General features: G+C 53.2%; 2 protein-coding genes and 1 non-coding gene across 8 annotated transcripts, besides 13 other annotated features; 2 read left to right on the plus strand and 1 right to left on the minus strand.

Annotated features, from left to right (window-relative positions):
- DBNL (drebrin like) lies at positions 265-25019 on the plus strand. 6 transcript variants are annotated; one of them, NM_001122956.2, is made up of 13 exons: positions 265-383; positions 5788-5843; positions 7393-7505; positions 8430-8504; positions 12320-12466; positions 13345-13422; positions 13692-13843; positions 13992-14043; positions 14441-14546; positions 14917-15012; positions 15106-15221; positions 15611-15716; positions 16340-25019. In NM_001122956.2, the coding sequence occupies exons 1-13, from the start codon at positions 301-303 to the stop codon at positions 16477-16479; spliced, it is 1320 nt and encodes a 439-aa protein (NP_001116428.1). In that variant the 5' UTR covers positions 265-300; the 3' UTR covers positions 16480-25019. The 6 variants fall into 6 exon arrangements, with proteins under 6 accessions (NP_001116428.1, NP_054782.2, NP_001349652.1 ...); NM_014063.7 differs by having other exon boundaries at positions 14465-14546; NM_001362723.2 differs by having other exon boundaries at positions 13995-14043.
- Positions 305-524: a silencer, noted in NCBI's record as "silent region_18139". NCBI's record gives its function as "represses an Ori minimal core promoter by ATAC-STARR-seq in GM12878 lymphoblastoid cells {active_cell/tissue: GM12878}" and the evidence as "EXISTENCE:reporter gene assay evidence [ECO:0000049][PMID:35858748]".
- Positions 305-963: a biological region, named in NCBI's record as "H3K27ac hESC enhancer GRCh37_chr7:44084499-44084999".
- Positions 463-963: an enhancer, noted in NCBI's record as "H3K27ac hESC enhancer chr7:44084499-44084999 (GRCh37/hg19 assembly coordinates)". NCBI's record gives its function as "activates a minimal SCP1, AML or CMV promoter by ChIP-STARR-seq in naive H9 embryonic stem cells {active_cell/tissue: H9 hESC(naive)}" and the evidence as "EXISTENCE:reporter gene assay evidence [ECO:0000049][PMID:30033119]".
- On the plus strand, positions 7329-7392 carry MIR6837 (microRNA 6837). Its single transcript, NR_106896.1, has one exon. It is a non-coding gene; the product is annotated as a microRNA 6837 (primary transcript).
- Positions 14934-15093: an enhancer, noted in NCBI's record as "active region_25922". NCBI's record gives its function as "activates an Ori minimal core promoter by ATAC-STARR-seq in GM12878 lymphoblastoid cells {active_cell/tissue: GM12878}" and the evidence as "EXISTENCE:reporter gene assay evidence [ECO:0000049][PMID:35858748]".
- Positions 14934-15612: a biological region, named in NCBI's record as "H3K4me1 hESC enhancer GRCh37_chr7:44099073-44099648".
- Positions 15037-15612: an enhancer, noted in NCBI's record as "H3K4me1 hESC enhancer chr7:44099073-44099648 (GRCh37/hg19 assembly coordinates)". NCBI's record gives its function as "activates a minimal SCP1, AML or CMV promoter by ChIP-STARR-seq in primed H9 embryonic stem cells {active_cell/tissue: H9 hESC(primed)}" and the evidence as "EXISTENCE:reporter gene assay evidence [ECO:0000049][PMID:30033119]".
- Positions 15613-16189: an enhancer, noted in NCBI's record as "H3K4me1 hESC enhancer chr7:44099649-44100225 (GRCh37/hg19 assembly coordinates)". NCBI's record gives its function as "activates a minimal SCP1, AML or CMV promoter by ChIP-STARR-seq in primed H9 embryonic stem cells {active_cell/tissue: H9 hESC(primed)}" and the evidence as "EXISTENCE:reporter gene assay evidence [ECO:0000049][PMID:30033119]".
- PGAM2 (phosphoglycerate mutase 2) lies at positions 18290-21130 on the minus strand. The gene is made up of 3 exons (NM_000290.4): positions 20679-21130; positions 20395-20575; positions 18290-18493 (listed from the first exon to the last, which is right to left on the minus strand). The coding sequence occupies exons 1-3, from the start codon at positions 21090-21092 to the stop codon at positions 18327-18329; spliced, it is 762 nt and encodes a 253-aa protein (NP_000281.2). The 5' UTR covers positions 21093-21130; the 3' UTR covers positions 18290-18326.
- Positions 19713-19822: an enhancer, noted in NCBI's record as "active region_25923". NCBI's record gives its function as "activates an Ori minimal core promoter by ATAC-STARR-seq in GM12878 lymphoblastoid cells {active_cell/tissue: GM12878}" and the evidence as "EXISTENCE:reporter gene assay evidence [ECO:0000049][PMID:35858748]".
- Positions 20467-20526: an enhancer, noted in NCBI's record as "active region_25924". NCBI's record gives its function as "activates an Ori minimal core promoter by ATAC-STARR-seq in GM12878 lymphoblastoid cells {active_cell/tissue: GM12878}" and the evidence as "EXISTENCE:reporter gene assay evidence [ECO:0000049][PMID:35858748]".
- Positions 20717-20766: an enhancer, noted in NCBI's record as "active region_25925". NCBI's record gives its function as "activates an Ori minimal core promoter by ATAC-STARR-seq in GM12878 lymphoblastoid cells {active_cell/tissue: GM12878}" and the evidence as "EXISTENCE:reporter gene assay evidence [ECO:0000049][PMID:35858748]".
- Positions 20827-20896: an enhancer, noted in NCBI's record as "active region_25926". NCBI's record gives its function as "activates an Ori minimal core promoter by ATAC-STARR-seq in GM12878 lymphoblastoid cells {active_cell/tissue: GM12878}" and the evidence as "EXISTENCE:reporter gene assay evidence [ECO:0000049][PMID:35858748]".
- Positions 22077-22146: a silencer, noted in NCBI's record as "silent region_18140". NCBI's record gives its function as "represses an Ori minimal core promoter by ATAC-STARR-seq in GM12878 lymphoblastoid cells {active_cell/tissue: GM12878}" and the evidence as "EXISTENCE:reporter gene assay evidence [ECO:0000049][PMID:35858748]".
- Positions 23747-23816: an enhancer, noted in NCBI's record as "active region_25927". NCBI's record gives its function as "activates an Ori minimal core promoter by ATAC-STARR-seq in GM12878 lymphoblastoid cells {active_cell/tissue: GM12878}" and the evidence as "EXISTENCE:reporter gene assay evidence [ECO:0000049][PMID:35858748]".

Raw genomic sequence — 25389 nt, forward strand, 5'->3', positions numbered from 1 at the left:
CCGTTTGGGTGGGACCAGAAGACGGGCTAGTCTGCGCCCCAGGATCCCTCCCTGAGGACAAACAGAAGGCCGGGTCCTCCCTTCTCCCGCTTGTCCTTCGGCATTCGCGGGACCTGCATGCTAGACCAGCTGGCCGGACAGCTCGCTAGGACCCGCGGGTGCGGCTGGCCCCTACCATTTCCGCTTCCTGCCGTGGGGCGGGGTTTCCGGTTGTCGGAGGCGAGGCTTGTCGGCTGTCAAAGGGGCGGCCCGGCCCGGCCCGGAAGCTACAGCAGCGGCGCGGAGACTGCGGGGCGGGCCATGGCGGCGAACCTGAGCCGGAACGGGCCAGCGCTGCAAGAGGCCTACGTGCGGGTGGTCACCGAGAAGTCCCCGACCGACTGGTGGGCGGCGAGACGGGCCAGGGTCGGGCCAGGGGCTGCCTCAGGGGTGGGTCTGTCTGGGGCGAGCGGGGGACTCGGGGGGAGCGGGAGCGCGAGCGCGGAGCGGTGCCCAGGCAGGTGGCCTGGGGCTTACCTGTCTGCCCCTCCACACCGCAGCAGGAGTGCTGTCTCACCCTCGTGACCCCTTGCCCCGCCGATCGTGGACAGGTTAAACCCGGCTTGGGGGGACCCAGTGAGTCCCCGCCCCTCCCCCTGTCGCTCGCCACCCACTGTGGGCTTCGCGGGCTTCCATGTTGGATCCTCGGCCTGGTCGTGCTTGCTAGCTTCGCCAGGTTCTTCTTTCCAGTCCTGGGACTTCCCTGGAGAAGGGGTTCCTGCACAGCCCTCTCTGAGAAGGCGGAAGCCACGCCCGGTTTTTTTGCAAACGCTGTGTTCGGGGATGGGCATTTGAGAGCGGCCTGGCAGCCGGGCTGTGAATGTGAGCCCTGCCCTGGGGGCTTCAGACGAGGAGCTCAGGGATCTGGGTTCTTGGCTGTCTGTGAACGTGGACTTCAGAACTTTCGTTTCTCCAAAAAGTGTACTCTTTCTTGTGCCTGAGCCATGGGAAGATGTACGAAAGTAGGATGCTCGCTATCTATTTGGGAAAAGGTCCCATTTTCCCTCTACCACCCAAGATATCCTCACTTTCCTCTTTGCTTAAATTGTTTTTACTGACCAGTTTTGAGAAATCCCAGTTCTGAGAAATATGCTGAGTATGGTGGGCTAAGGTGACCAACTTTGGGGAATAGAAACTGGGCCTTGGAGTCTGAGTCGTGGTGGGGCCACACTGTGGTCAGCACTGAGGCCCTCCCAACTGTCTTCCCCTTGTGTGGGGGCCATCTCCACTTGTGTAAGTGCTTTCTCATCTCCTCTGCTCTCCGTAGTGCCCAGCACAGAGCGGCTTTTATGCAGTGTACTATTGTGACCCTGAGGATGTTATGGCTTTGCTTTTTCCTCAGCCCTGGGCCATTAGGGGAAGAGCTTTAGAACACCAGTTGCTTGGTTCTATGGGGTCTCTGTAGACTCTCCTGTCAGGTCTGAGTGCCCTGGATGGCACTTATGCCAAACAGCACATCTTCTGTTTTGGAGGCATCTAAAGAAGGATATCTCGTCATTTCCTTGGTGGGGTTTTCTGCCTGCTTTATAATCCCTCAGATTTACCCACGTCAGTCAGTGTTATTTTTCTCAGGAGAGTTTCTAGATGTCAGCCCTCTGTTTTGCCTCTCTCCTATTCCTGTTCGTGTTTCTCTTAGACCTCTCCTGTTACTTCAAACCCAGTCAAAAGTATCTCTGCAATGAGTGCCCCATTTTCATGTCCACATCATACCACTTGGCTTTAGAACCCAGAAGAATCTTTGCCCCTCTTCAGCCCTGCCAAATTAAAGATTTTGCTTCTTAACATGCTCTTGATCACTCTGTTTACCCTGGCAGACTTACCTAGGAGCTTCCTGGCACTCCTCATCTATCTCCCTTCCAGGTCTCTCTTCATCATCAGTCTTCTCAGGAACCATCACTGGTTTGGGATGATGCCTCCCAGCCCACCTGGCAGTTTGGGCTTCCCTCTTCAGACCTCCTATGTTCCTAGCCTTTCCTTGGGCTGCTTACGAGAGCTGTCTGCTACCACTCCTGGCCCGGTGCTTACCCACCCCATCTACTCTCTGTCCCTCATGAGGGTTGTGGAGCCTCCTCTTTCCCCTCATGAAGTCAGAACCCACCCATCTCACTGGACTCATCTGCCCAGACAGCCATGCTATGCTCCCTCCCTACCTCCAGGCTCCTGCAGCACTACAGGTTGTGTCACTCAGCAGCATAACCCACTGACCTCCACCCTCATCGTCACAGCCATTAAGGTAGTTACTCAGCAGATACTATGTGGCAGATTCCTGCACACTGCGGAAAAATATCTGGACCATGTCACTTCCGTGTCTGTAACTCTACAGTGGCTTCCTGTTGCATGTTGAATAAAGCCTAGACTCCTTGCCCTGCTGATGCCCTGCATGACCCAGAACCTACCACCCCTTTCATTTACCACACTGTGGCCACACCTGTTTGTCACCACTCTGGCCGTCTTTCTCTTCCTCAAACTTACAAGCTGGTTCCTCTTCAGAGTCCTTGCTCTGCTGCTTCCTCTGCATGGAGCACACTTTTTCCACATCGTCCCAGGTGGCTCCCCAGCCTTCACTTCTTGGCCCCGAGGTTGCCTTCTCAGAGAGGCCTTCCTTGATTCCTAGCTCCTTGTTTGTAGGCACTTTTTCCCATCTTTCTGTTTGACTTCCTTCAGACACATGCCAGACACAAAATATGCTGGAAATCCTTATGGATTTTCTTGTCACCTTTATCTCTTACTAGAAGGGGTGGGGTGGGCTCTGTCTCTGTCCTCGGTGCTTGAGGCACGGTTGTTACATGTGGCAGATGCTTAGATGAAGGATGGACCAAGTCATACAGAAAAAGTGGTAGAGATATCAGAGGAAGAAGAGGTGGTCTCTAGTTTGGTGGGTCATAAGAGGTTTCACACACACAGTGCTGGCATTGGGGAGGGCAGATAGAGTGGGGAGCAACCATGACATCAGCTCTCCATCTTGGATCTGTCTCCCGCCCCTGCTTACTCCGTATCTTGGCATGGTTTGTTCTCACCTGGTTCATGTGTCACCTTCAGCACCTGCTTCACTCTCTAATAGTACGTTAGTGTTAGGTGTGTGTTTTTTCTTCCGTTAGAAAGTAAGTTCCATGGGCAGGACCTTTTAGGGATTGTTCATAGCTGCATTCCTGTAACTAATAAGCAGTAGGCTCTCAGTACTTATTTTCAAAGGCACTATTGAATTATAAGATGCTTGACACTCCATATGCCTTGCTGTTCAGAGGCCAGTGCACCATGTTTTTTCATGTTGATTTGAAACTTCCTTCGCCCTTCTTTCAAAAGGCCTCTGAACTGGGAATGAGCCTCTGCGCTGGGAACATTCTTAAAGGTGGCCTGGGGTAGAGAGGGATCAAGTCAGAGGGATAGGTGGCAGGCATTGAGCTTGGCTCTTATTATATTAGCTGCTGAGTCCCTTTTTTTTTTTTTTTTTTTTTTTGAGACAAGAGTCTTGCTCTGTCGCCCAGGCTGGAGTGAAGTGGCACGATCTTGGCTCACTGCAACCTCTGCCTCCCAGGTTCAAGTGATTTTCCTGCCTCAGCGTCCCAAGTAGCTGGGATTACAGGCACCCACCACCACACCCAGCTAATTTTGTATTTTTAGTAGAGACGGGGTTTCCCATGTTGGCCAGGCTGGTCTCAAACTCCTAACCTCAGGTGATCCACCCGCCTTGGCCTCCCAAAGTGCTGGGATTACCGGCATGAGCCATCGCAGCTGGTTGAGTCCCTTCTTGCAAGAGCTGGGTTGAGCTGCCATCTTCTGTTACCTGCTGCTTGTGCCAGCTTGCTATCTTCTGGGAGCCAGGGCTTTGTGGCCATCAAGAGGAATGGGCTTCTTTCCTCCAGGGAGTTCCCCCCAGCTCATGCTGGCAGTGTGCCACCTCCCAAATCTTTCTCTTGTTTTTCTGTGTTCTTTTCTCTAGTTCCTTTTCTCTGAGTGTTTCTCATTCAGTGTTTCTCTCCTGTATTCTGTCTCCCCTCCTGGTAAGGAGTGCCTTTTCCCGGAGGCCTGTCTCCTCCCTACCAACCAGATCCACTGGGCCTGGGTCTAATTTCTTCCATTTTTCTGAGGCATAAGTATCTCTGCCCAGTGGCACTGGCAAAGCCCTGGGGAAGCCAAGTTGAAGCTGATTTGGTTCCTGTCCGACTGTTTATCCCTGGAGCTTCTGTCTGGCCTGCCTCAGCAGGCCTGTGCTTTAGAGCCTGGGGAGATGACACACACTGGACTGGGTTTTGCCTTTGACTTATAGTCCAGTGGGTCAGTGCCTCCAGCCCATGTCCAGCAGCCCTGCTGGGGATGTTCAGTTGCTGCAAGGTTCATGCTATTAGCAAGCCAGAATGAATCTTTACCAGAGTTTTGTTTTTGTTTTTGTTTTTAAGAGTTGGGGTTTCACTCTGTTGTTTGGGCTGGAGTACAATGGCATCATCATGGCTCACTGTAGCCTCGACCTCCCAGGCTTAAGCAATCCTCCCACCTCAGCCTCCCGAGTAGTTGGGACTACGGGCATATGCCACCACGCCTGGCTGATTTTTGTATTTTTGGTAGAGACAGGGTCCCACCATGTTGCCCAGGCTGGTCTCAAACTCCTGGGCTCAAGCGACCCTCCTGCCTCAGCCTCCCAAAGTCCTGGGATTACAGACACGAGCCACCCACCTGGCCCAGAGTTCTGTTCTTTTTTTTGAGATGGAGTCTCACTCTGTTGCCCAGGCTGGAGTGCAGTGGCGCGATCTTGGCTCACTGCAAGCCCCGCCTCCCGGGTTCATGCCATTCTCCTGCCTCAACCTCCTGAGTAGCTGGGACTACAGGTGCCTGCTGCCACGCCCAGCTGATTTTTTGTATTTTTAGTAGAGATGGGATTTCACCGTGTTAGCCAGAATGGTCTCGATCTCCTGACCTCGTGATCCACATCTGCCCGCCTCGGCCTCCCAGAGTGCTGGGATTACAGGCGTGAGCCACTGCGCCCAGCCCAAAGTTCTTATGAATAATTAATCTTTCAGGAAAAGAAAGCCATGGCCCCATGTCACCCATGGAGAGATAAGGCTCTGCTAGATAGAAAACTTGCTCATGGGTACCTGTCCGTGAGGGGCTTGGCAGGTTCATGGCTTTAACTGTGTGATTTCATGTCGTGTCATTCCTTTGTGGTTTCTGATAAACACAACCTGTGGTAGTCTGTGTTTACCAAAGAGTCTCAAGCCTGGAAGGACCTGCTGCCCTACCCACCAGGCTTCACTGGAGCCAGGGCAGACGTGCACAGGAGTGGTGGGCAGCCTTCCAAGGGGCCCAGTGTGTGTATTTCTCCGACTTGCTTCTCCTTTTGGGTGCTCTGGGTTCAGGAATATGTAGATATGTTTTGTCTCTTCAAATCCATATACCTAGTGGCCAGGTGAGTATTTGACACATGAATGTATAGCAGTCATTGGGAAACTCCACAGCTCATGTTTTCCTCATAGTAGATGTGTGCTCCCATCTCCATGGCTTTGTCCCTCACAACCCCCACCCCATGGTAAGTCAGGCCAGTGTCCTCCCAGCTGCAGAGCTGAGAAGGCTGCACAGTTGCCTACTGAGAACCTGCCTAGTGGGTCAGAGCAAAGTGAGAACGGGCCTGTGCCCACCCACAGTGTTACTGTCAGCCCAAGCTCTTTGGGATGTAGTGGAAAGTCATGGTGGATACGGTGAGGAGAGATGGAACCCAAGGTGCTGGCTACAGAGCTCACTTGTGTTTCGTTTCAGGGCTCTCTTTACCTATGAAGGCAACAGCAATGACATCCGCGTGGCTGGCACAGGGGGTGAGTATGACTCCAAATGGACTCAGGGACACCAGGAGGTAGGAGGGTGACGACGAGGGGTCAGCGCACTCAGCTGTCTTGGTCCACTGAGCCACATGGGGCTTCCAGTGCTCACTGGCCACTTCTGGCAGGCCTTAGGTTTCAGATATGTGTAAGTGAAAACATTCCTCCTTGGTTCTCCTTCCCTCTGGGTGCAGGGGAGTGCTTTCTCTTTGTCTACTTGGGGAGAGCTGAGAGGGAAACAGGCCTCTCCAGCTTGTGGGCAGCCTGCGTTGGGAGCTGCGGTGGGAAGCTCACCAGTCCCAGAACTGGTGCTGGTGGAAAGAAAGTCCACAGACATATCTTCTTCTCCCTTTGTCCTGCCCTGGTCTTGTGCCGAGTGCTTGCAGGGGCCCCATCCTCACTGGGAGAGGCAGTATCACTGCAGATAGTCACGGGGGAGGCTCTGGAGGTCTCTACAGGAAGGACAGGCTCTTGGCCAGCACAGAGCAGAGGTTGTCAGGGTAGGCTTCGTCAGAGTGTGACCTGTGGGCCCCTCAGCTGACACCCGTGACTGCTCCTCCTCCAGAAGTTGCCTGACCCCTCCCTCTGTCCTGAGCTGGACATGGCTTCATTGTTCAATGAACACTCGGAGTGGTTCTCCACGGTTTGATGTCTGTTGTTGGTAGAAAGCCCCTTCCTTTCACAATCTTTCTGGGAGGTGTCCCCTTTCTAGAAGGATTGCCATTGAACAGTAGACATGTGGTGTGGCAGGTGACTGGGAGTTGCAGAGATCAACAACTTGAGAGTTTCCTGTCATCCCCAGTGGCACAGGACAGGGCTCTGCCACAAATGCAACAATTTGCTGTCCCCAGAGTGGGGCTCATGACTGCCTCCACTCATACGGAGCCCTGTAGATGAAATACCTGATCAGCTCTTCCTCCTTATAACCTGGAAAAGTTTGTGAGGGCTAAGCCTCAGTGTCAGGGAGAATTGTTTAGAGCTGCCCACTCCTGTGCTCCCCCTGTCCCCATCACCCTCTCTTCTGGAGTCTGAGGACTGAGCCAGTTACGCCACTGCAGGATGTTCAATCTGGTCTGGCCGTCTGGGTGGCCCTGGAACTTGAGCAGACACAGGTGCAGGCAGTGGTGACTCTACAGGCCCTGCTATTCCGGGCCCTTTTGCAACGTTGTGGCAACAATAAAATTTTGACGTAGCCATCCTCCATTTGGAAGTCTGGTGGCTGGTTTGCCGTGGAAATGACCCTGTTTTTATTTCCAGAATTACCTCTGGGTTTAGAGAAGTGGTTTTTAAACGAGTGTGGGTAAAAAAAATTACCTGAGGTACTTGTCAGAATCGCAGACTTCTAGGTCCCACCCAGCTCTCATCAATCAGTTTAGTGAGGGTGGTGCCCAGGACTCTGATTTTAAACATACCCCTAGAAAGATTCTGATACAGGTAGAGGTGAGAAGCCCTGGTTTAGAAGCAGCTCGGCCTCCCTTCATGGTGGGACCAGGGCCAGCAGGGAATGTCAGGGCCACCCCTGACCTTCACTGTGACTCTGCTGCAGAGGGTGGCCTGGAGGAGATGGTGGAGGAGCTCAACAGCGGGAAGGTGATGTACGCCTTCTGCAGAGTGAAGGACCCCAACTCTGGACTGCCCAAATTTGTCCTCATCAACTGGGTATGTGGAGCCTGTTTCATCTAGGTGTGACCCAGGAAACCCCATTGTCTTCTTTCCTGTTTTGACTTGACTTCAGGAACAAAGTGTTTTACTGGCATGACTTAGTAGATCAATAGAACAGCTCTGAGCTGGTGAATGAGCAGAATAGTTGACAGATTCATTGTGGCCCAAAGAATAACTGTGGCTTTGCTATGCAGAATTCACCTTCCAAGCCTAGAGTTCTTCCTGCAAAATGGATTAAAAGCAGTCACAGGGAGTCCTTGCTCCGTGCTCTTGAGGGTGGTTGTTCTGATGGAGTAGAGAGCCTGAGGGAGTGTTTAGGAGCCTGGGAGTACAGGGACAGGGCCTCCTTGATCCCTTGGTGGGGATCAAGAAAACTCTTGAAGGCTGGGTGGGGTGGCTCACACCTGTCATCCTAGAACTTTGGGAGGCCGAGGTGGGTGGACTGCCTGAGCTCAGGAGTTTGAGACCAGCCTGGGCAACATGGTGAAACCCCATCTCTACTAAAATACAAAAAATTAGCTGGGCATGGCAGCGTGCACCTGTAGTCCCAGCTACTCAGGAGGCTGAGGCAAGAGAATTGCTTGAACCCAGGAGGCAGAAGTTGCAGTGAGCCAAGATTGCGCCACTGTACTCCAGCCTGGGCCACAGAGCAAGACTCCATCTCCAAAAAAAAAAAAAAAAAGAAAATTCATGAAATGCCCCCACAGCGAAAGCCGGTAGCCATCCTGCCCAGGGAGAATCCATGAGCCCCTTGGAGGCATGGGAACTTACCTCACCCATGTGATGCAGTCAGAAGAATAGGTTCTGCTTTGGGGGTTGCAGTTTTCTCTTTTCTGGGACACAGGGTAGATGTTGGGTCCCCAGGGAAGGGAAGTGGCTTTGGGGGAGGCCTGGGTCAACCTGGGCATCCTTGTGTTGCAGACAGGCGAGGGCGTGAACGATGTGCGGAAGGGAGCCTGTGCCAGCCACGTCAGCACCATGGCCAGCTTCCTGAAGGTAAGGCCAGGTGAGGCCCGCTTCACTGGGAACAGGCCTCACAGGCTTGAGGTCTCGCAGGTTCCTGGGTGCGAGCAAGTGGGAATCAGAACTGGAGTTGGGAGTGTGCTCATAGCTAATGCTCTCTGCCTGCCTTTGAGGGCATGACCAGAGGCTGCTTCACTCTCGGTCAGTGAGTGCATGGGAGGTCAGGATGTTGCCAGGGCCACCTACAGGCCTGCCTCAGTGGGGCAGGATAAAGGACTATGCTGGAGCTGGTGCCGTGAGAAGGGTGGGCCCTGGTTCTGTTTTGTTTTATGATCCCTCTAAACAGTTTAGTAATACCGTCAGGATTTGGAGGAAGGGGAGAGTGCCCACCATCTTAGCACGCATGTGCCCTTTTGATGCATTCCTTTCCAGCCCCCTCTACATGGAGTTATGTCAGTCCTATAATAGAACCTTTTTAAATTTTAAAAACTATTTGTAACAAAAGCATTTGTTGGTCACTTGTCAGGTAACTTTTTGCATTTCTCTGGCAAAGGAGACTCAGAATTTTGATTTCTCGTTCTGCCAACATTTCTTCAGCTATACCTCAGTTTCCATCTAGGAGCTGATAAGAGAATTCCCAGCTTATCGATATACAGGTTTGAGTATCCTTTATCTGAAATGCTTAGGACCAGAAATGTTTTGGATTTTTTCAGATTTGGGAATGTTTTCAGTTCAGCATCCAAAATCCGAAATTCTCCAGAATCTGAATTTTTTTTTTTTTTTTTTGAGACTGAGTCTCGCTCCGTTGCCCAGGCTGGAGTGCAGTGGCGTGATCTTGGCTCACTGCAAGCTCCGCCTCCCGGGTTCACACCATTCTTCTGCCTCAGCCTCCCGATTAGCTGGGACTGCAGGCACCCGCCACCACGCCCAGCTAATTTTTTGTATTTTTAGTAGAGACGGGGTTTCACTGTGTTAGCCAGGATGGTCTCGATCTCCTGACCTCGTGATTTGCCCGCCTTGGCCTCCCAAAGTGCTAGGATTACAGGCGTGAACCACCACGCCCAGCCCAGAATCTGAGATTTTTTGAGTGCTGACATAATGCTTAAAGGAAATGTTCATTGGAGCAGTTCAGATTTTGGAATTTTAGGTAAGGGATGCTCAACCTGTATAGCAACAGTGAATGACGTCATGGGTCTGGCTTCTTATGAAGAAATCATTGGCTTACTTTTTGTAGAAAACATGCATGGCATTCTTTTATCAGAGTTTTTTTTAATTGTTTTGTTTTTTGTTTGTTTGTTTGTTTTGAGACAGTCTCACTCTGTCACCCAGGCTGGAACGCAGTGGCACGATCTCGGCTCACTGCAACCTCTGCCTCCCAGGTTCAAGTGATTTTCCTGCCTCAGCCTCCTGAGTAGTTGGGATTACAGGTGCCTGCCACCATGCCCGGCTAAGTTTTCTATTTTTAGTAGAGATGGTGTTTCCCTGTGTTGGCCAGGCTGGTCTGGAATCCCTGAGCTCAAGTGATCTGCCCTCTTCAGCTTCCCAAAGTGCTGGGATTACAGGCGAGAGCCACCGCACCTGGCCCAGAGTTTTTATAAATTGATATATAATAGTTGTACATATTTTTTGCATACATGTCATATTTTGATACCTGTATACAATGTATACGATGAATCAGGGTAATTAGCATGTTCATCACCTCAAACATTTATCTTTTCTTTGTGTTGGGAACATTACAATTTTTCTCTTCTAGCTAATTTGAAATACACAAAATTATTGTTAACTATAATTTCCCTTCTGTACTATTGAATACTAGAATTTATTCCTTCTATTTAACTGTACTTTTGTACCTGTTAAGCAACTTCTCTTCATTTTCTCTCCCCCATGCCCTTCCCAACCCCTGGTAACCAGCATTCTACTCTCTCCCTCCATGATACCCACTTTTTTAGCTCCCACATGAGTGAGAACATGCAATACTTGTCTTCTGTGCCTGGCTTATTTCCCTTAACATCATGACCTCCAGTTCCATCCATGTTGCTGCAAATGACAGGATGCCATTCTGTTTTATGGCTGAATAATATTCCCTCATGTTTATATACTAAATTTTCTTTACCCTTTCATCCATTGATGGACGTTTTGGTTGATTCCGTATCTTGGCTATTGTTAATAGCGCTGAACTTCAGAGTTGGATATATCCCCAGCAGCTGGATTGCTAGATCATATGGTAGTTCTGCTTTTAGTAGGACTAAAATACTGTTTTAAAAACCATACTGTTGTCTAGGCGCGATGGCTCACGCCTGTAATCCCAGCAGTTTGGGAGGCCAAGGTGAACAGATTACCTGAGGTCAGGAGTTCAAGACCAGCCTGGCCAACATGGTGAAACCCCGTCTCTACTAAAAAAATACAACAATTAGCCAGGTGTGGTGGCGGGCACCTGTAATCCCAGCTACTCAGGAAGCTGAGGCAGAGAATCTCTTGAACCTGGGAGGTGGAGGTTGCAGTGAGCCGAGATTGTCCACTGCACTCCAGCCTGGGCAACAGAGTAAGACTCTGTCTCAGAAAAAAACCCAAAAAACCATACTGTTTTTATAATGGCTGTACTACTTTACATTCCTACCAACAGTGTATAAGAATTTCCCTTTCTCCACATCCTTGCTAGCATTTATTTTTTATGTTTTTTATAATAGCCATTCTAACTGTGGTGAGATGATAGCCCGTTATGGTTTTGGTTTGCATTTCCCTGATGATGGTTAGTGATGTTGAGCATTTTTTTGTATGTAGTTAGCCATGCGTATATCATCTTTCGAGAAATATCTGTTAAGGTCTTTTGCCCATTTTAAAATCAGATTATTATTTTTTTGCTACTGAGTTGTTTGAGTTCCTTATATATTCTGGTCACTAATTCCTTGTCAGATGGATAGTTTGAAGATATTTTCTCCCATTCTGTAGGTTGTCTGTTTACTTTGTTGATTGTTTCATTTGCTGTGCAGAAGCCTTTTAGCTTGATGTAGTCCAATTGGTTGATTTTTGCTTTTGTTGCCTGGGCTTTTGAGGTCTTAACCCAAAAAAAATCTTTGCCCAGATCAATGTCCAGGGGCATCTACCCAGTGTTTTCTTTGAGTAGTTTCATAGTTTCAGGTCTTACATTTAAGTCTTTTTAACCCATTTTGAGTTTTTTTTTAATATGGTAAAAGATGAAGATTTAGTTTCATTCTTCTGCATATGGATATCCAATTTTCCTAGCCCTGTTTATGAAGGAGACCGTCCTTTCCCCAGTGTATGTTCCTGTCACCTTTGTTAAAAATGAGTTGGCTGTGTGTGTGAGTGCTCTGTTAGTTTCCATTGTTGTGTCTGTGTTTATGCCTGTACCATGCTGTTTTGCTTACTGTAGTTTTGTAGTTTAATTTGAAATCAGGTAGCATGAAGCCTCCAGCTTTGTACTTTTTGCTTCAGATTGCTTTAGCTATTCAGGGTCTTTTGTGGCTTCCAGATGGCATTTAAAATTAGTTTTCATTGATTAGAAGGAAGGCCTTTGATGCAAATTATGCCTGGGCTGTCTATTGATACACAGCAGGGAACAGCTACAGAAGGAACCACTGGATAGCACAGTGGAGGTCAAGGGTCTCACGTGAACTGGGACAAGAATGAGGGGTTTGCTCCAAGTTGGTTTGTTTGAGCCCTTGAGGGGAACTCGTGCCTCAGTTTTCAGCAGCCAGACAGGTGCCTTCTAGTTTCCTGATTCCAGTCCTGTGTGGTATAGTAGTGGCCCGTGCTGTATGGACTGACAGGAGTTTGGCCCATCTCCTGGGCTTGCAAAGCCCTTCTTTCAAGTGCTGCTCCTGCTGCAGGGGGCCCATGTGACCATCAACGCACGGGCCGAGGAGGATGTGGAGCCTGAGTGCATCATGGAGAAGGTGGCCAAGGCTTCAGGTGCCAACTACAGCTTTCACAAGGAGAGTGGCCGCTTCCAGGACGTGGGACCCCAGGCCCCAGTGGTGAGTGCTGCTTGCCCATCGCCAGCCCTTTTGTTGCTCAGGGCCTGAGGCAGGGGGCCAGGAATATGCACTTCCCAGCACCCGGGCTGGCTGGGCCCATGCCTGCTTAGTTTCTGCAGATGGTAACCCCTGAGCTGTGGTGATTGCCCACTGACCAGATGAGCAGGAATAGCCCTCTGACCTTGCCTAGGGGTTGGACTAGCTGTTCTGGAGCCTTCCTCTGGAGCCCAGCCTGTGTGGTCAGAGTGGAGGCTCTGCAGCATGCATGGCTATGATAGTCTGGCTGCCCTCAAGGTCATGGCACTGGAACATCTTGGGCTGCCCCTGGAGGTAGCCACCGTGGAGGAACTAAAGGAGGCATCAAGGCGGAGCCTGAAACCAGAGCAGGCCCCTTGGAGTCACGGGAGATACCTGTGGGCCTGTGGCCCCAGTGCTGTGTGGAGCTGATGGCTGGGAGCTGCGTCCGCATGCGTGTGGTTGGACGTGATTCCTTGGATGCTCTTGTGGTAGTCAGCTGTCTGAGTGCCCCTGGTCAGAGGCCTGCCTCAGAACTGCCCAATGTCTAGGAGTCTGCAGGTGGGGTATGGGGGCCTTTCTTGCCCTGGCCCCCATCCATGAGGGCGAGAGACCACCAGAGACCCCTCTAGTGTTGTCTGGGATTGAGCATCCCCCTTGGGGCAGTGTCCTGGGCTTCTTTCAGGTCATCTTGGTGTGTGTCTCCTTGAGGGTCACTGGGCAGTGCTCTGCTGCCTCTGCTGGGTCCAGTCCTAGCAGCACTCACCTGTGCTGTCGCAAGTTTAGCGTATTCTCTCCTTTGGTGCCTGTGGGCCTGGCCTTCCACCTGGGTCCAGGTCTCTAATGAGTGCTGTCCCCTACAGGGCTCTGTGTACCAGAAGACCAATGCCGTGTCTGAGATTAAAAGGGTTGGTAAAGACAGCTTCTGGGCCAAAGCAGAGGTGAGTGCTGCCCCGGGGCATGCTGGGCACGTGGGAGTGTTCTGCTTGCTGTGGCTCATCTTTCCTCACAAGTGAGCTCATGCAGCATCCACTCTCCTTGGTGCCCATTACAGATGGTCACACTGAGGCTCGGGTAAGTTAAGCCACAAGGCTAATGATCGACTGGCTCTGGTGCCCGTCTTTGGCCATGTGCCTAAAACTCAGTCCTGGGCAGGGGATTAGGCTGAAGTGGCAGCATAGGGCTGAGCGGGCAGTGGCTCTCCCTGCAGAAGGAGGAGGAGAACCGTCGGCTGGAGGAAAAGCGGCGGGCCGAGGAGGCACAGCGGCAGCTGGAGCAGGAGCGCCGGGAGCGTGAGCTGCGTGAGGCTGCACGCCGGGAGCAGCGCTATCAGGAGCAGGGTGGCGAGGCCAGCCCCCAGAGGTGAGCCAGAGGTGGAGGCTGGCCTGGGGGACCCACCCTGAGGCATTGCTGGGCACCTGCTCCATCCCATGGAGGCGAGGAGGACTAAGGGGTGTGGCATGAGAAGCTGTGACTGTGCCTCAGCTGTGCCCCACCCGGCCCTTCCCAGCAGGACGTGGGAGCAGCAGCAAGAAGTGGTTTCAAGGAACCGAAATGAGCAGGTAAGATGGGGGTGCTCTACTTGTTTGGACCTGTCCTGGCCACACGCAGAAGTCCCTGATCTCGGATTGAGGGCCCAGCCCAGACCTGGGCAGAGGCTGCCCTGCAGTCAGCTGGGGCAGGTTGGAATCTGGGCACCTCAAGAGGTGGCAGTAGAGAGGAAAGCCAAAGGCGGAAGCGTCGGGCTTGGACCACACCTGGTCCTGGGGGAGGCCCTGGGAGCCCCTTGGCTTCTGTGTTTTACTTCCTTTTTTAACGTTACTTTTTATTTTTAAATGACTTCTCTCCTGAGAACATGTTTTGCCTCCTGGCCCCACACTCACCTTTGAGGGGCTACTGGGCCGACAGCTGGAGGGGCTGTGATCTGGGGAGAGGTGGTGAAGGTTTTGCCCACTGCAGGGGTCAACATGTGCTTCCCTCCAGGAGTCTGCCGTGCACCCGAGGGAGATTTTCAAGCAGAAGGAGAGGGCCATGTCCACCACCTCCATCTCCAGTCCTCAGCCTGGTGAGCTCTCCCTTTGGGCCTGGCCATGAGGCAGCAGCAGGCTGAGGGGGAGCCTGGGGTCCTATGTGGGCTCCCCCAAGGCTAGTGACAGATATATCGGTGACGGGTGAGTGAGTGAGGAGAAGGGACACCTGGGGCCATTGACCTCATCAGTGACCACACTGGTCACCAGTTTGGCCTCCAAAAGATATTGGGCTGCGCTGTCTACCACGTCACCACATAGCACATGGCCCTGGGGCCTCTGTTCCTGCACTAGCAAGAGCAAGCCCCATGAGACTGCCTCGAGCACACCAGGGTGGAGGGTGCTGTGGGGTGCGTGGGTGTGTGGTGGTGTTTCTGAAGTGATGTATATATTTACCCGGGTTTGCAGGCAAGCTGAGGAGCCCCTTCCTGCAGAAGCAGCTCACCCAACCAGAGACCCACTTTGGCAGAGAGCCAGCTGCTGCCATCTCAAGGCCCAGGGCAGGCAAGGCGCTTGTCACCCCATGGGGACCCTGGGGGACAGCAGTGGAGAAGGGGGATGTGTGGGAGTGAGAACCTGCTGTGTTCCCTGGTGCAGATCTCCCTGCTGAGGAGCCGGCGCCCAGCACTCCTCCATGTCTGGTGCAGGCAGAAGAGGAGGCTGTGTATGAGGAACCTCCAGAGCAGGAGACCTTCTACGAGCAGCCCCCACTGGTGGGTTCCTACACTGGGGCTGGGGCCAGGAAGGGGCTGCATACTCAGGAACACTTATCACGGGCCGCCTGAGTTTTCTGGGGGCATGCAACAGGTTTTAAAGCACATGCATTTTTGGAGCAGCCCTGTGTTATAAATTGTCAGGGCACGCCCCACTCTATAGGAGGTGCTGGGTGGGAAGAGGACCTTGCAGCCTATGGCTGAGGGATTTATGCACTGTCCTGTGGCTTCTGTACTCTGGTAGGGCGGGGACAGCAGCAGCCCAGCCCCCGAGCCTGTAGACTGCTTGCCCTCTGCGTACTCCCAGCTTGACCTGAGCCATGTGGGGCAGAGCAGCGATTGTGTGTAAGGGCTGAGTCTGGGGTAACACCTTTGTCATCCCTGGGCAGGTGCAGCAGCAAGGTGCTGGCTCTGAGCACATTGACCACCACATTCAGGGCCAGGGGCTCAGTGGGCAAGGGCTCTGTGCCCGTGCCCTGTACGACTACCAGGCAGGTAAGGTGCCCTGGCCTGGCTGGCACAGACCACAGGGTCCTGAGGTTAGGAGACAAGAGGGTCTGGGGTTTTATGGGAAGATGGCACCAGGGGGTATCAGGAAGAGAAGACAGGAGGGTGGGCGGTGCGTTTAGGGGTAGAAGCACCTCTGGAGTGGGGGTGACTGTGGCACTAGAGTGTTCTGCACAGCCCAGGCCTCCCTACATGTTCCTCATTAGCTATTTGCTGGCCGCTGATGTGAATCCCAGTTGCCACCCTTGTCACAGAACATGGACTCTGAGCAGGGAGGTGGGCCAGGCCTGGATGCTGGTTCACCAGGCGTCCCTGGGTGGAGGCCTTGGAGAATGGGGTGGAGGCCCCCTACGGAGCAGGCTGGTGTCTACTCTAGCCTTTTTTGGGAATGCTCTGTAGGAGGGTATGCCCTGGGGGTGTGGTCACTGGAGCCGCATTGGGACAGGGTGCAGTGTTGGCCAAGGCTTAGCAGGGTGGCAGGGATATTTCTGAGGAGGAACCAGAGCTGCAGCGAGGTGTGCTGCAGCAGTGTGGGGCTGCCGTGGGCTGCCCGAGCAGGTGGGATGTGGGAGGGAGCCCCTGATATGCATCTGGGCTCATCCTCTTTGCAGCCGACGACACAGAGATCTCCTTTGACCCCGAGAACCTCATCACGGGCATCGAGGTGATCGACGAAGGCTGGTGGCGTGGCTATGGGCCGGATGGCCATTTTGGCATGTTCCCTGCCAACTACGTGGAGCTCATTGAGTGAGGCTGAGGGCACATCTTGCCCTTCCCCTCTCAGACATGGCTTCCTTATTGCTGGAAGAGGAGGCCTGGGAGTTGACATTCAGCACTCTTCCAGGAATAGGACCCCCAGTGAGGATGAGGCCTCAGGGCTCCCTCCGGCTTGGCAGACTCAGCCTGTCACCCCAAATGCAGCAATGGCCTGGTGATTCCCACACATCCTTCCTGCATCCCCCGACCCTCCCAGACAGCTTGGCTCTTGCCCCTGACAGGATACTGAGCCAAGCCCTGCCTGTGGCCAAGCCCTGAGTGGCCACTGCCAAGCTGCGGGGAAGGGTCCTGAGCAGGGGCATCTGGGAGGCTCTGGCTGCCTTCTGCATTTATTTGCCTTTTTTCTTTTTCTCTTGCTTCTAAGGGGTGGTGGCCACCACTGTTTAGAATGACCCTTGGGAACAGTGAACGTAGAGAATTGTTTTTAGCAGAGTTTGTGACCAAAGTCAGAGTGGATCATGGTGGTTTGGCAGCAGGGAATTTGTCTTGTTGGAGCCTGCTCTGTGCTCCCCACTCCATTTCTCTGTCCCTCTGCCTGGGCTATGGGAAGTGGGGATGCAGATGGCCAAGCTCCCACCCTGGGTATTCAAAAACGGCAGACACAACATGTTCCTCCACGCGGCTCACTCGATGCCTGCAGGCCCCAGTGTGTGCCTCAACTGATTCTGACTTCAGGAAAAGTAACACAGAGTGGCCTTGGCCTGTTGTCTTCCCCTATTTTCTGTCCCAGCTCATCCGTGTCTCTGAAGAACAAATATGCTTTTGGACCACGAATTCCCAGTTTGGTCTACACAGGCTCGCAGCTCTCACCTGTCCTGCTGTAGCCTGAATGCTCCCATGTGGGAATAGCACCCCACCACCTGCCCAGTGTCTGCCTCTGCTCCGTGTCTGGGGTGAGCACCCTCACCCTGAGACTGTGGCTGATGATGATCAGCCACCAGGAAGAGGCTAAATGTTAAGATGGGACTGAAGTTGGAGCCTTCCTGCGTTCCAGTTCCTCTAGGAGAGGCCAAGGGCTGCCCTGCTCCCAGCTTCAGGGAGCCTCTGCCTACATGGGATGGCCCACTGTGTGGCGTCAGGTACCTGGCACCCACTGAGCATCCGGGGAATTAGGTCCCTCCTGTGCCCCAGAGCTGCTAGGCAGACTGCTAGGCGGTTGACTCAAGGTGTTACCTGCTAGTGCCTGGGGTGAAGGCTGCATGGAGCCCAACCTTGCTCCTGGCCTTCCTGTGCTCAGGCCTCTCCCCTTTTCGCCAGGGCTTCCTGGTGCCTCTCCCATGAAGAGGGAACTTCCCCTCCACTCCCATGGAAGACCCAGGTTTGGGCTGTTGCCAGCTTTGAGGCCCCCTGTGGGCTTGCCTGTCCCAACCCAAGAGGCAGGGCTCAAAGTGCCACCCGGGGGTTGCAAGGACAGCAGAGGACCACCTGCCCTCTGCAGGAAGCTGTCCAGGAAGCCGTGTCCTGGGCTGTGGTCCTTGCTCCCCATGGGGAGAGCTGGGTCACTTGGCCTCTTCTAACTGGCCCCAAGCACGCCAATTCTGGAGCATGGTTACTAAGTGGCTCTGAAGCTTCAGGGTCACCACAGGCTTGTCCTGACTGCAAACTCATGGAGTGGTTGCAGCCCTGGCTCAGTGTCCTGATGACTAGGTGTGGGTACTAGGCTCCTGCCCCTGGTGACACACGTATGGAGTGGGGGAGGGTGGGTGGCTGCACCCCTGGTTCTGGAGTCCCCACAGCTGATGGCGGTGTGAGCCTGGCATGCACGGCTGCGCTGGACTCCAGGCTGTTGGGGGAGGTGCCTTTATTGCCCAAGCCCACCCCTCACTTGGCCTTGCCCTGGGCAGCCACAGCCTCCATGGCCTTCCGCACCGTTTCCTCATCACCCAGGAACTGCATGGGCTTGGTGGGCTTCAGCTCCTTGTTCAGCTCATACACAATGGGGATCCCCGTGGGCAGGTTCAGCTCCATGATCGCCTGGTCTGACATCCCTATGCCGGAAGGAATAGGTGTCCTTAGCCCCTCTGTCCCCAGCCTGTTTACACAGCAGACACTATGTGACCTTTATGGTCCACAGAGCCAGTTCCCCTGGCACCAATTCCTTCCCAGCCCTGAGAACGAGGCCACAGAAATGTTGCCAAAGGTCAAGGAGTAACTGAGTTAGACCAAGCAGCCTACAGAAATAGCCCAGTGGTGAAAAAAATGGGGACTTCAGCCCCACCCAAGTGGCTGTGATCTGTGGTGGTGCTGTCCATAGTTCCCTCAGCCCAGTGTGACTCCAGCCAGACTGAAGTTGAGGGTCAGGAAGGGACACTCACCCTTTGTTTTTTTTTTTTCTTTTCTTTTTCTTTTTCTTTTTTTTGAGATGGAGTTTTACTCCTCTTGCCCAGGCTGGAGTGCAGTGGCACGATCTTGGCTCACTGCAACCTCCATCTCCTGGGTTGAAGTGATTCTGCCTCAGCCTCCCAAGTAGCTGGGATTACAGGTGAGCGCCACCACACCCGGCTAATTTTGTATTTTTAGTAGAAACGGGTTTTACCATGTTGGTCAGGCTGGTCTCAAACTCCTGACCTCAGGTGATCTGCCTGCCTCAGCCTCCCAAAGTGCTGGGATTACAGGAGTGAGCCACCGTGCCCAGCACCCTTTGGTTTCTAAAGTGCTCTAAATTCTAGACATCCTGAACAGAGGAGCAAGTGCGGAATGGAGCTGGAGGAGGGACAGGGAGGCCGAGCCTGGTCGAAACCTGACCCTGCCTGCCTCCTGCAGCCCCTGAGCTGGGAATAGCAGCTCGACCTTTGATGTTCGCGCCACTCCACCCCTGCTCCGTGCAGGAGGGTTTAAGAAAATGTTCTCTGGGGAGTCAGAGTGAAATCCCTCATATTCACCACCAAAAGTGCGTCCCCTTTCCCCAAACCAGGCTGTGGGAGGGTCATGGGGCTGCATGAAGTCTCCGGAAGGGAGAGGAGGCAGGTGGTCCTTCCCTCTGCCTGGCCCCAGTGCCAGGTGCCAGGTGTCCGTGTTTGGAGCGGGCAGGCTTGGGGCTGGCTGGGTCTCCGGGGCCTGCCGGTCTGGGTGCTCTGGCCAACTGCCCAACGGCCCTAGGAGCAGGAGGTCTGGGGCACACCCTTCTAGCCTTTCCAGGACTCAACAAGCTTTAAGGTCATTCAGATGCTAATTTAGACTGCCCTTGTGTCAGAATACTAAGGTGGGAGGCGGAGCGGAGGTGCCAGTCACTCTGGGCGAGGCCTTACTGCGCCCATGCATCCCGGGCCCATTTGTCAGCCCTTGCTCTTCAGTGGGAGCCCAGCTGCAAGCCCAGAGTCTGGCCACTCCATAGTCCTGCACCCCTCTTTTGATTGGTCTTTCCTTTGCCCAGAGAGGGGCTCCAGAGGGAGATAGGTGGTGAAGCTCATGCAGGGATTCTGAGGACCTGATGGGGGAGGGCCCTGCGAGGGGTCCAAGCCTACATCAAGAGGAATTCAGTACCAGGGGGAGCTCCCCACCACCCCGGAAAAGGGAGAGGCCCAGAGATGGAGGTGGCTTGTCCAGGGCCCCACAGTAAGTTGGGATTTGGAGCCAGATGCTCTAAGCCCAGCCCTTCCGTTTCCTAGCTGGGTGTCCCTTGGCAGATGCCACCTTTGGAGCCTGCCCCACCTCGGGACACAGCGAGCTTCGAGTGCAGTCAGCCCCTGTGGAGTGTGTCCCAGTTACACAGAAATGGGGAAAATTTCACAAAACTAAAAAATGGCTTCTCAGCCCTCCTTTTTCAGTGAATGATGTGGAGCCCCACGCCTAGAAAGCCTGGTCCATGGGCGAGAGACTTTGCTGAGATGAGAAGCCAGCTGGGGCTGCTGCCCACCCACCCTGCCCAGGCTCCTGAAGGTGGCCTCACCTTCCAGGTGCTTGACAATGCCCCGCAGGCTGTTCCCGTGGGCTGCAATGAGCACTCGCTTGCCGGCCTTGATCTGGGGAACAATCTCCTCGTTCCAGAAGGGCAGGGCCCGGGCAATGGTGTCCTTGAGGCTCTCGCAGGTGGGGAGTTCCCCGGGCTTCAGGCCTGCGTACCGACGCTCCTGGGGGACACAGGCACGCTGCTTTCCCTCCCAAGCCAGTGGGCCCCCACCCGACTCCCCACTCTGCAGCTTCCCAGAGGCCTTCCCAGCAAAGGCAGCCCACCTTGCTAATGGAGTTGTAGTAGGGGTGCTTCTCGTCCATCGGGGGCGGCGGGATGTCGAAGGAGCGCCTCCAGATCTTCACCTGCTCCTCCCCGTGCTTGGCGGCCGTTTCTGCCTTGTTGAGGCCTGTGAGGCCCCCGTAATGCCGCTCATTGAGGCGCCAAGTGCGCACCACAGGCAGCCACATCTGGTCCGTGCCGTCCAGGATGGCCCAGAGGGTGCGGATGGCCCGCTTCAGCACTGACGTGTAGCAGATGTCAAACTCCATCTTGGCATCCTTGATGGCCTTGGCTCCCCGCTTGGCCTCCTCGGTCCCCTTTTCACTCAGCTCTGCATCGAACCAGCCACAGAAACGGTTCTCCTGGTTCCATGTGCTCTCGCCGTGCCGGACCATCACGAGGCGGTGAGTGGCCATGGTGGCAGCAGGGACCACAGAGGACTCTGGACGGGGACGGCTGCTTCCCAACACTCCCAGCTTTATAATAGTGTCTTCCCAGCCCCCACCCACCCCAGCCAACTGCCAATCAGCATTCCAGGCGGTGGCAGGTGACCAGTAGCTGAGCTGCTGGGGGCTGGGGGCCAGGGGAGTGTGCAGGCCAAGAGGCTGTGCTTAAAATAGCCCCACGCATCCACCAGCTCCTGGCCTGGGTTCAGGTGGCATGTCTATAACCAGCTGGCACCCAGAGCCCAGACTGAGTGGGGCTGCTGGTCAGGGATGGGCGTGAAGGGCAGAAGTCTGGGCCAGGGGAGATGGGGATAGCAGGGACAGAGGGGCTCTCCAGGGCAACGCTCAGTGGCCTATCAGCCATTCTCTGCTCAGACAGAGGCACAAACAAAATCCCAACCCCTTTCTCCTGTGATTGGCAGCCAGGCTAGGAGGCGGCCCTCAGCAGGCAGAGGAGGAGAGCCAGAGGAGCTGGTGCAGACCACAGCTTTGTGGAGAGGAGTCTGGCCTTGTGGAAGGTACCAGGCAGCAGCAGCAGAATGGGCAAGGGCTGGGGCTGAGCCGGGTTTCCAGGACAAAGGGGGAAAGGGCCCCTGTCTTTCCTCCGGGGTCCCTTTGTCAAGGTCTCATCCATACATGCCCCATGCTCCCACCCTATCTGCCCTCACCCAAGCCACGCTCACTCTCCTAGCCGAAACCACCTTGAAAAAGAGAAATCCAAGGGGGTTTGGGGGCAGGACTGAGGACTGTCAGAAGTCTTGATTGTTAGGTAAATGCTCAGCTTAGCAGGAACCCACAACGTAGGCTGAAGGGTGGCACGGAGTTGAGTCTAGGACCAAGACTTCTGCATTCAGGTTTGGGGGATGAGAGCCACCAAGGCAGGGAAGAGACTATGAGCAATAAAGTCACAATTGGGGCCCTAATGAAGGGGCCATGGCCAGACCCTTGGGCATGGGCCCCATCCAGGGCCTCCCATTTCCTCCCACCCCAGTGACCACACTGTCACCTGCGACACTTCTGATAACAGGAGCGGGTAGGTGAGAGGCCAGCAGAGGGACCACCACTCTGAGACTTGGATCTGAGTGTGCAAGAAACCCTCGACAGGCCTCCCTCCATCCCTGCTGGCCTACCTGGGGAGGGGCTCCTGGCTTGGGGCCTGTGAAGCTAAGGCTCTGTACCCAAAGGTTGGCAGACAAGTCCCAGTGGGCAAAGTCCTGTCGGCTGCCAGGACCCCCAAGGCTGGCAGGTGGAACCCATCCCTCCTAGCAGTGCCATGCGCAGGTCTCACTGTTCCACACTGATCCTGATTGAAGCCACATCTCCTCATCTGCTTTTGTCCCTTTGACCAAGAGTTGATTCACTAGCCCAACTAAACATGACTGAGGACCAGGCTCTGGCAGTCCCACAGGGGCCAGACATGAAGCCCATATTTCAGTGGAGGAGGGATCGTACCAGCAGCTAAACATGCCTACCGTAGATAGCACCAGATGCTAGGAAGGAAGGACCATAATGTACTGGGAGAGATGGGAAAGGAGAGGCCGGGGACAGCCCTGAGGTGACATGTGAGTGGAAAGAGCGGAGTGCAAAGGCCTCAGCTATGATGAGTCCTACAGGGAGAGCAATTCAGGTAGAGGGGTTGGCAAAGACCCAAGCCCTACAGAAAGCAAACAAGCTGGGGCAGCGACCATCAGGGGCACATGGCAGAGAGGTGGGCTTTGTGTCCCAACACAGTGGGAATCACTGGAGACTTTGAAGCATGGTCATATTTTCAAGTCACTTGCAGCTGTGTAGGAGTGGAAGTAGAAGCTGAGTACCCTGCAGGTCTCGGCAGCTTTGATGAGAACAAGGCCGCTTAGCCAGGGCTGGGTGCAGAAGCAGTGGCAAGGATCCCCCAGACCTGGGAGACCTCACTGCCAACCAAGCAGGAGGTGTCAAAAAGGAAAGGGGAGCCCAAAGAAGGGCTGGACTTCGGGGAAGCAAGCCCCTGCTTCTGACCCTTGGCTCCGGCTTGACTTTCCTTTGATTCATTTGACAAGTAGTTGCTGGCCTCTGCAGTGTGCCAGAGCTTTCTTGGAGGGGTACAGGGGTAGGAAAACCAAAAGCCACCCTCAGGGCCTCCATCCAGGAAGGCATAGCATGGTGGGCGGCGAGGAAGGCTGCTGAGTCAACAAGGTGGTCCCAGGAAGGTGGAGGGAGCATCTTCCCATGTCTCTCCCACTGACAGCCACCAATCCTGGACAGATGCAGGAGCAGCTGTCAGTAGACAGATAAGAAAAGGAGATCAGATTCAAAGTTCCGCAGAGAAGTGGTGAGGTAACAAGTATTGCCTAGCCTGGACACACAGGCGGCTTGAAACCTCAAGTGCACCAACAGAAAGAGCTCCAGGAAGAATCAGAGGAGTGGGATGTGAAGCCCCTCGAAGTCAGTGAGTTGGGGGAATCCCTCCAATTTTTCTTTTCTTCTCTACCCCAGCTCCTGGGCAGTAACATGGAGGTGGCAGTGGTGGCACAGTGACGGTAGTGTGAGCTGGGTACGCACTTGAAACCTGAGAGGGTAACGCTACCCTCTGTCTAGAGGAGCCATGGCCCCAAAAGCATGGGGCAACCACCTTCTGCAGCTCCTTTCTGCCCCCCTGCGCTGGGCCCTGGATGCAGTTTCAGGGAGTATGCAGCAGGGTAGGTAGGGAAAGAGCCCCAGATTTGTGGCTGGAGGTCTTGGTAGGGATGTTGCAGGGAGCTGTTGTGTTTCAGGGAGAGTACAGAGAAGGGAGAGATGAAGTGAGTGATCCGATAAAGTGATATGTGAAGTCATTGGCTTGCTGCCAAGCTGCGCACAGGGCTGACCCTAGATGCACATTGCAGGTCCCAGACTGACCGGTGTAGATACAGGACTAATATGACTAGTAGTGCAAACACTTTAAACAGTCAACATTCTGCTTAGGATTTAAACAAGGTCCAGAGTCTCAACATAATATTTAAAATATCCAGGTTATCCAAAATAACCCAGTGTATGAAAACCAGGAAAATCTTAACATGGGAGAAAAGAAGATGATCAATACATGCCCATCCTGAGATGATTCAACTATTGGAATGATCAGATACAGACTTCAAAGCAGCTATTTATAACCAGCCTTCAGAAAGTATTGGTGAATATTCTTAAACAGAATGGAAATGACAAAGCATGGAGTCCATAAATTAGATGATAGTTTGGAAAAAGATATAAACTTACAAACCAAGAAGCTCAGTGAACCACACAACTGGATAAATTAACAACAAAAGTCCAAGCTTAGACACATCATAAAGAAACTTCTGAAAACTAAAGACCAAGAAAAATAAGATCAGCCAGAGAAAAACGATACATTTCATTCAGGTGAACAATTCTTTGAAAGACTGGATCTTCACCAGAAACTATAGAGGCCAGAAAGAAGTGGAACATTTTTAGTTTTGAAATAACTGTCACCCAAGAATTCTATATCCAGTAAAAATTTCTATTTTACTGGAATAAAAGAATGAAATAAAGACATTCTCAAATGAAGGCAAGCTGAGGAAATTCATAACCAAAGAATCTGCTTTAAAAAAATGTTAAACCAAGTTCTTCAGACAGAAGAGATTACTGGGGGCAATTCAAAACTTTGGGAATGCAGGAAGAACATCATAAATGGCAAAAGTCCACATAAATATGAAACTATTCTTTACTTCTTTAAGAGTTATGTGATGGTTGAATTAAGTCATGATACTGTCTGATGGAGGCTTCAGTGTATACAGATGTAAGACAACTAGAACATGAGGGGAGAAGGGTGAAGGGACCTAGATGGTAGTGAGGTTTCTACATGCTACTTGAAATGGCAAAACATTAATCTAAATTGACTGTAAGAGTATGTGTATTTGGCCGGGCAGGGTGGCTCATGCCTGTAATCCCAGCATTTTGGGAGGCCAAGGTGGGTGGATCACCTAAAGTCAGGAGTTCGGGACTAGCCTGACCAACATGGCAAAACCCTGTCTCTATTAAAAATACAAAATTAGCCAGGTGTGGTGGTGCATGCCTGTAATCCCAGCTACTCGGGAGGCTGAGGCAGGAGAATTGTTTGAAATCGGGAGGCGGAGGTTGCAGTGAGCCAGATTGTGCCATTGCACTCCAACCTGAGCGACAAGAGCGAAACTCCATCTCCAAAAAAAAAAAAAAAAAAAACACAAAAAAACTATGTGTATTAGAACCCCTAGAACAACCACTATGTGTGTGTGTTGGGGGTGTGTGTGTGTGTGTATAG

The sequence above is a fragment of the Homo sapiens genome, chromosome 7, assembly GCF_000001405.40.
Source record: "Homo sapiens chromosome 7, GRCh38.p14 Primary Assembly".
Classification (NCBI taxonomy): Eukaryota; Metazoa; Chordata; class Mammalia; order Primates; family Hominidae; genus Homo; species Homo sapiens.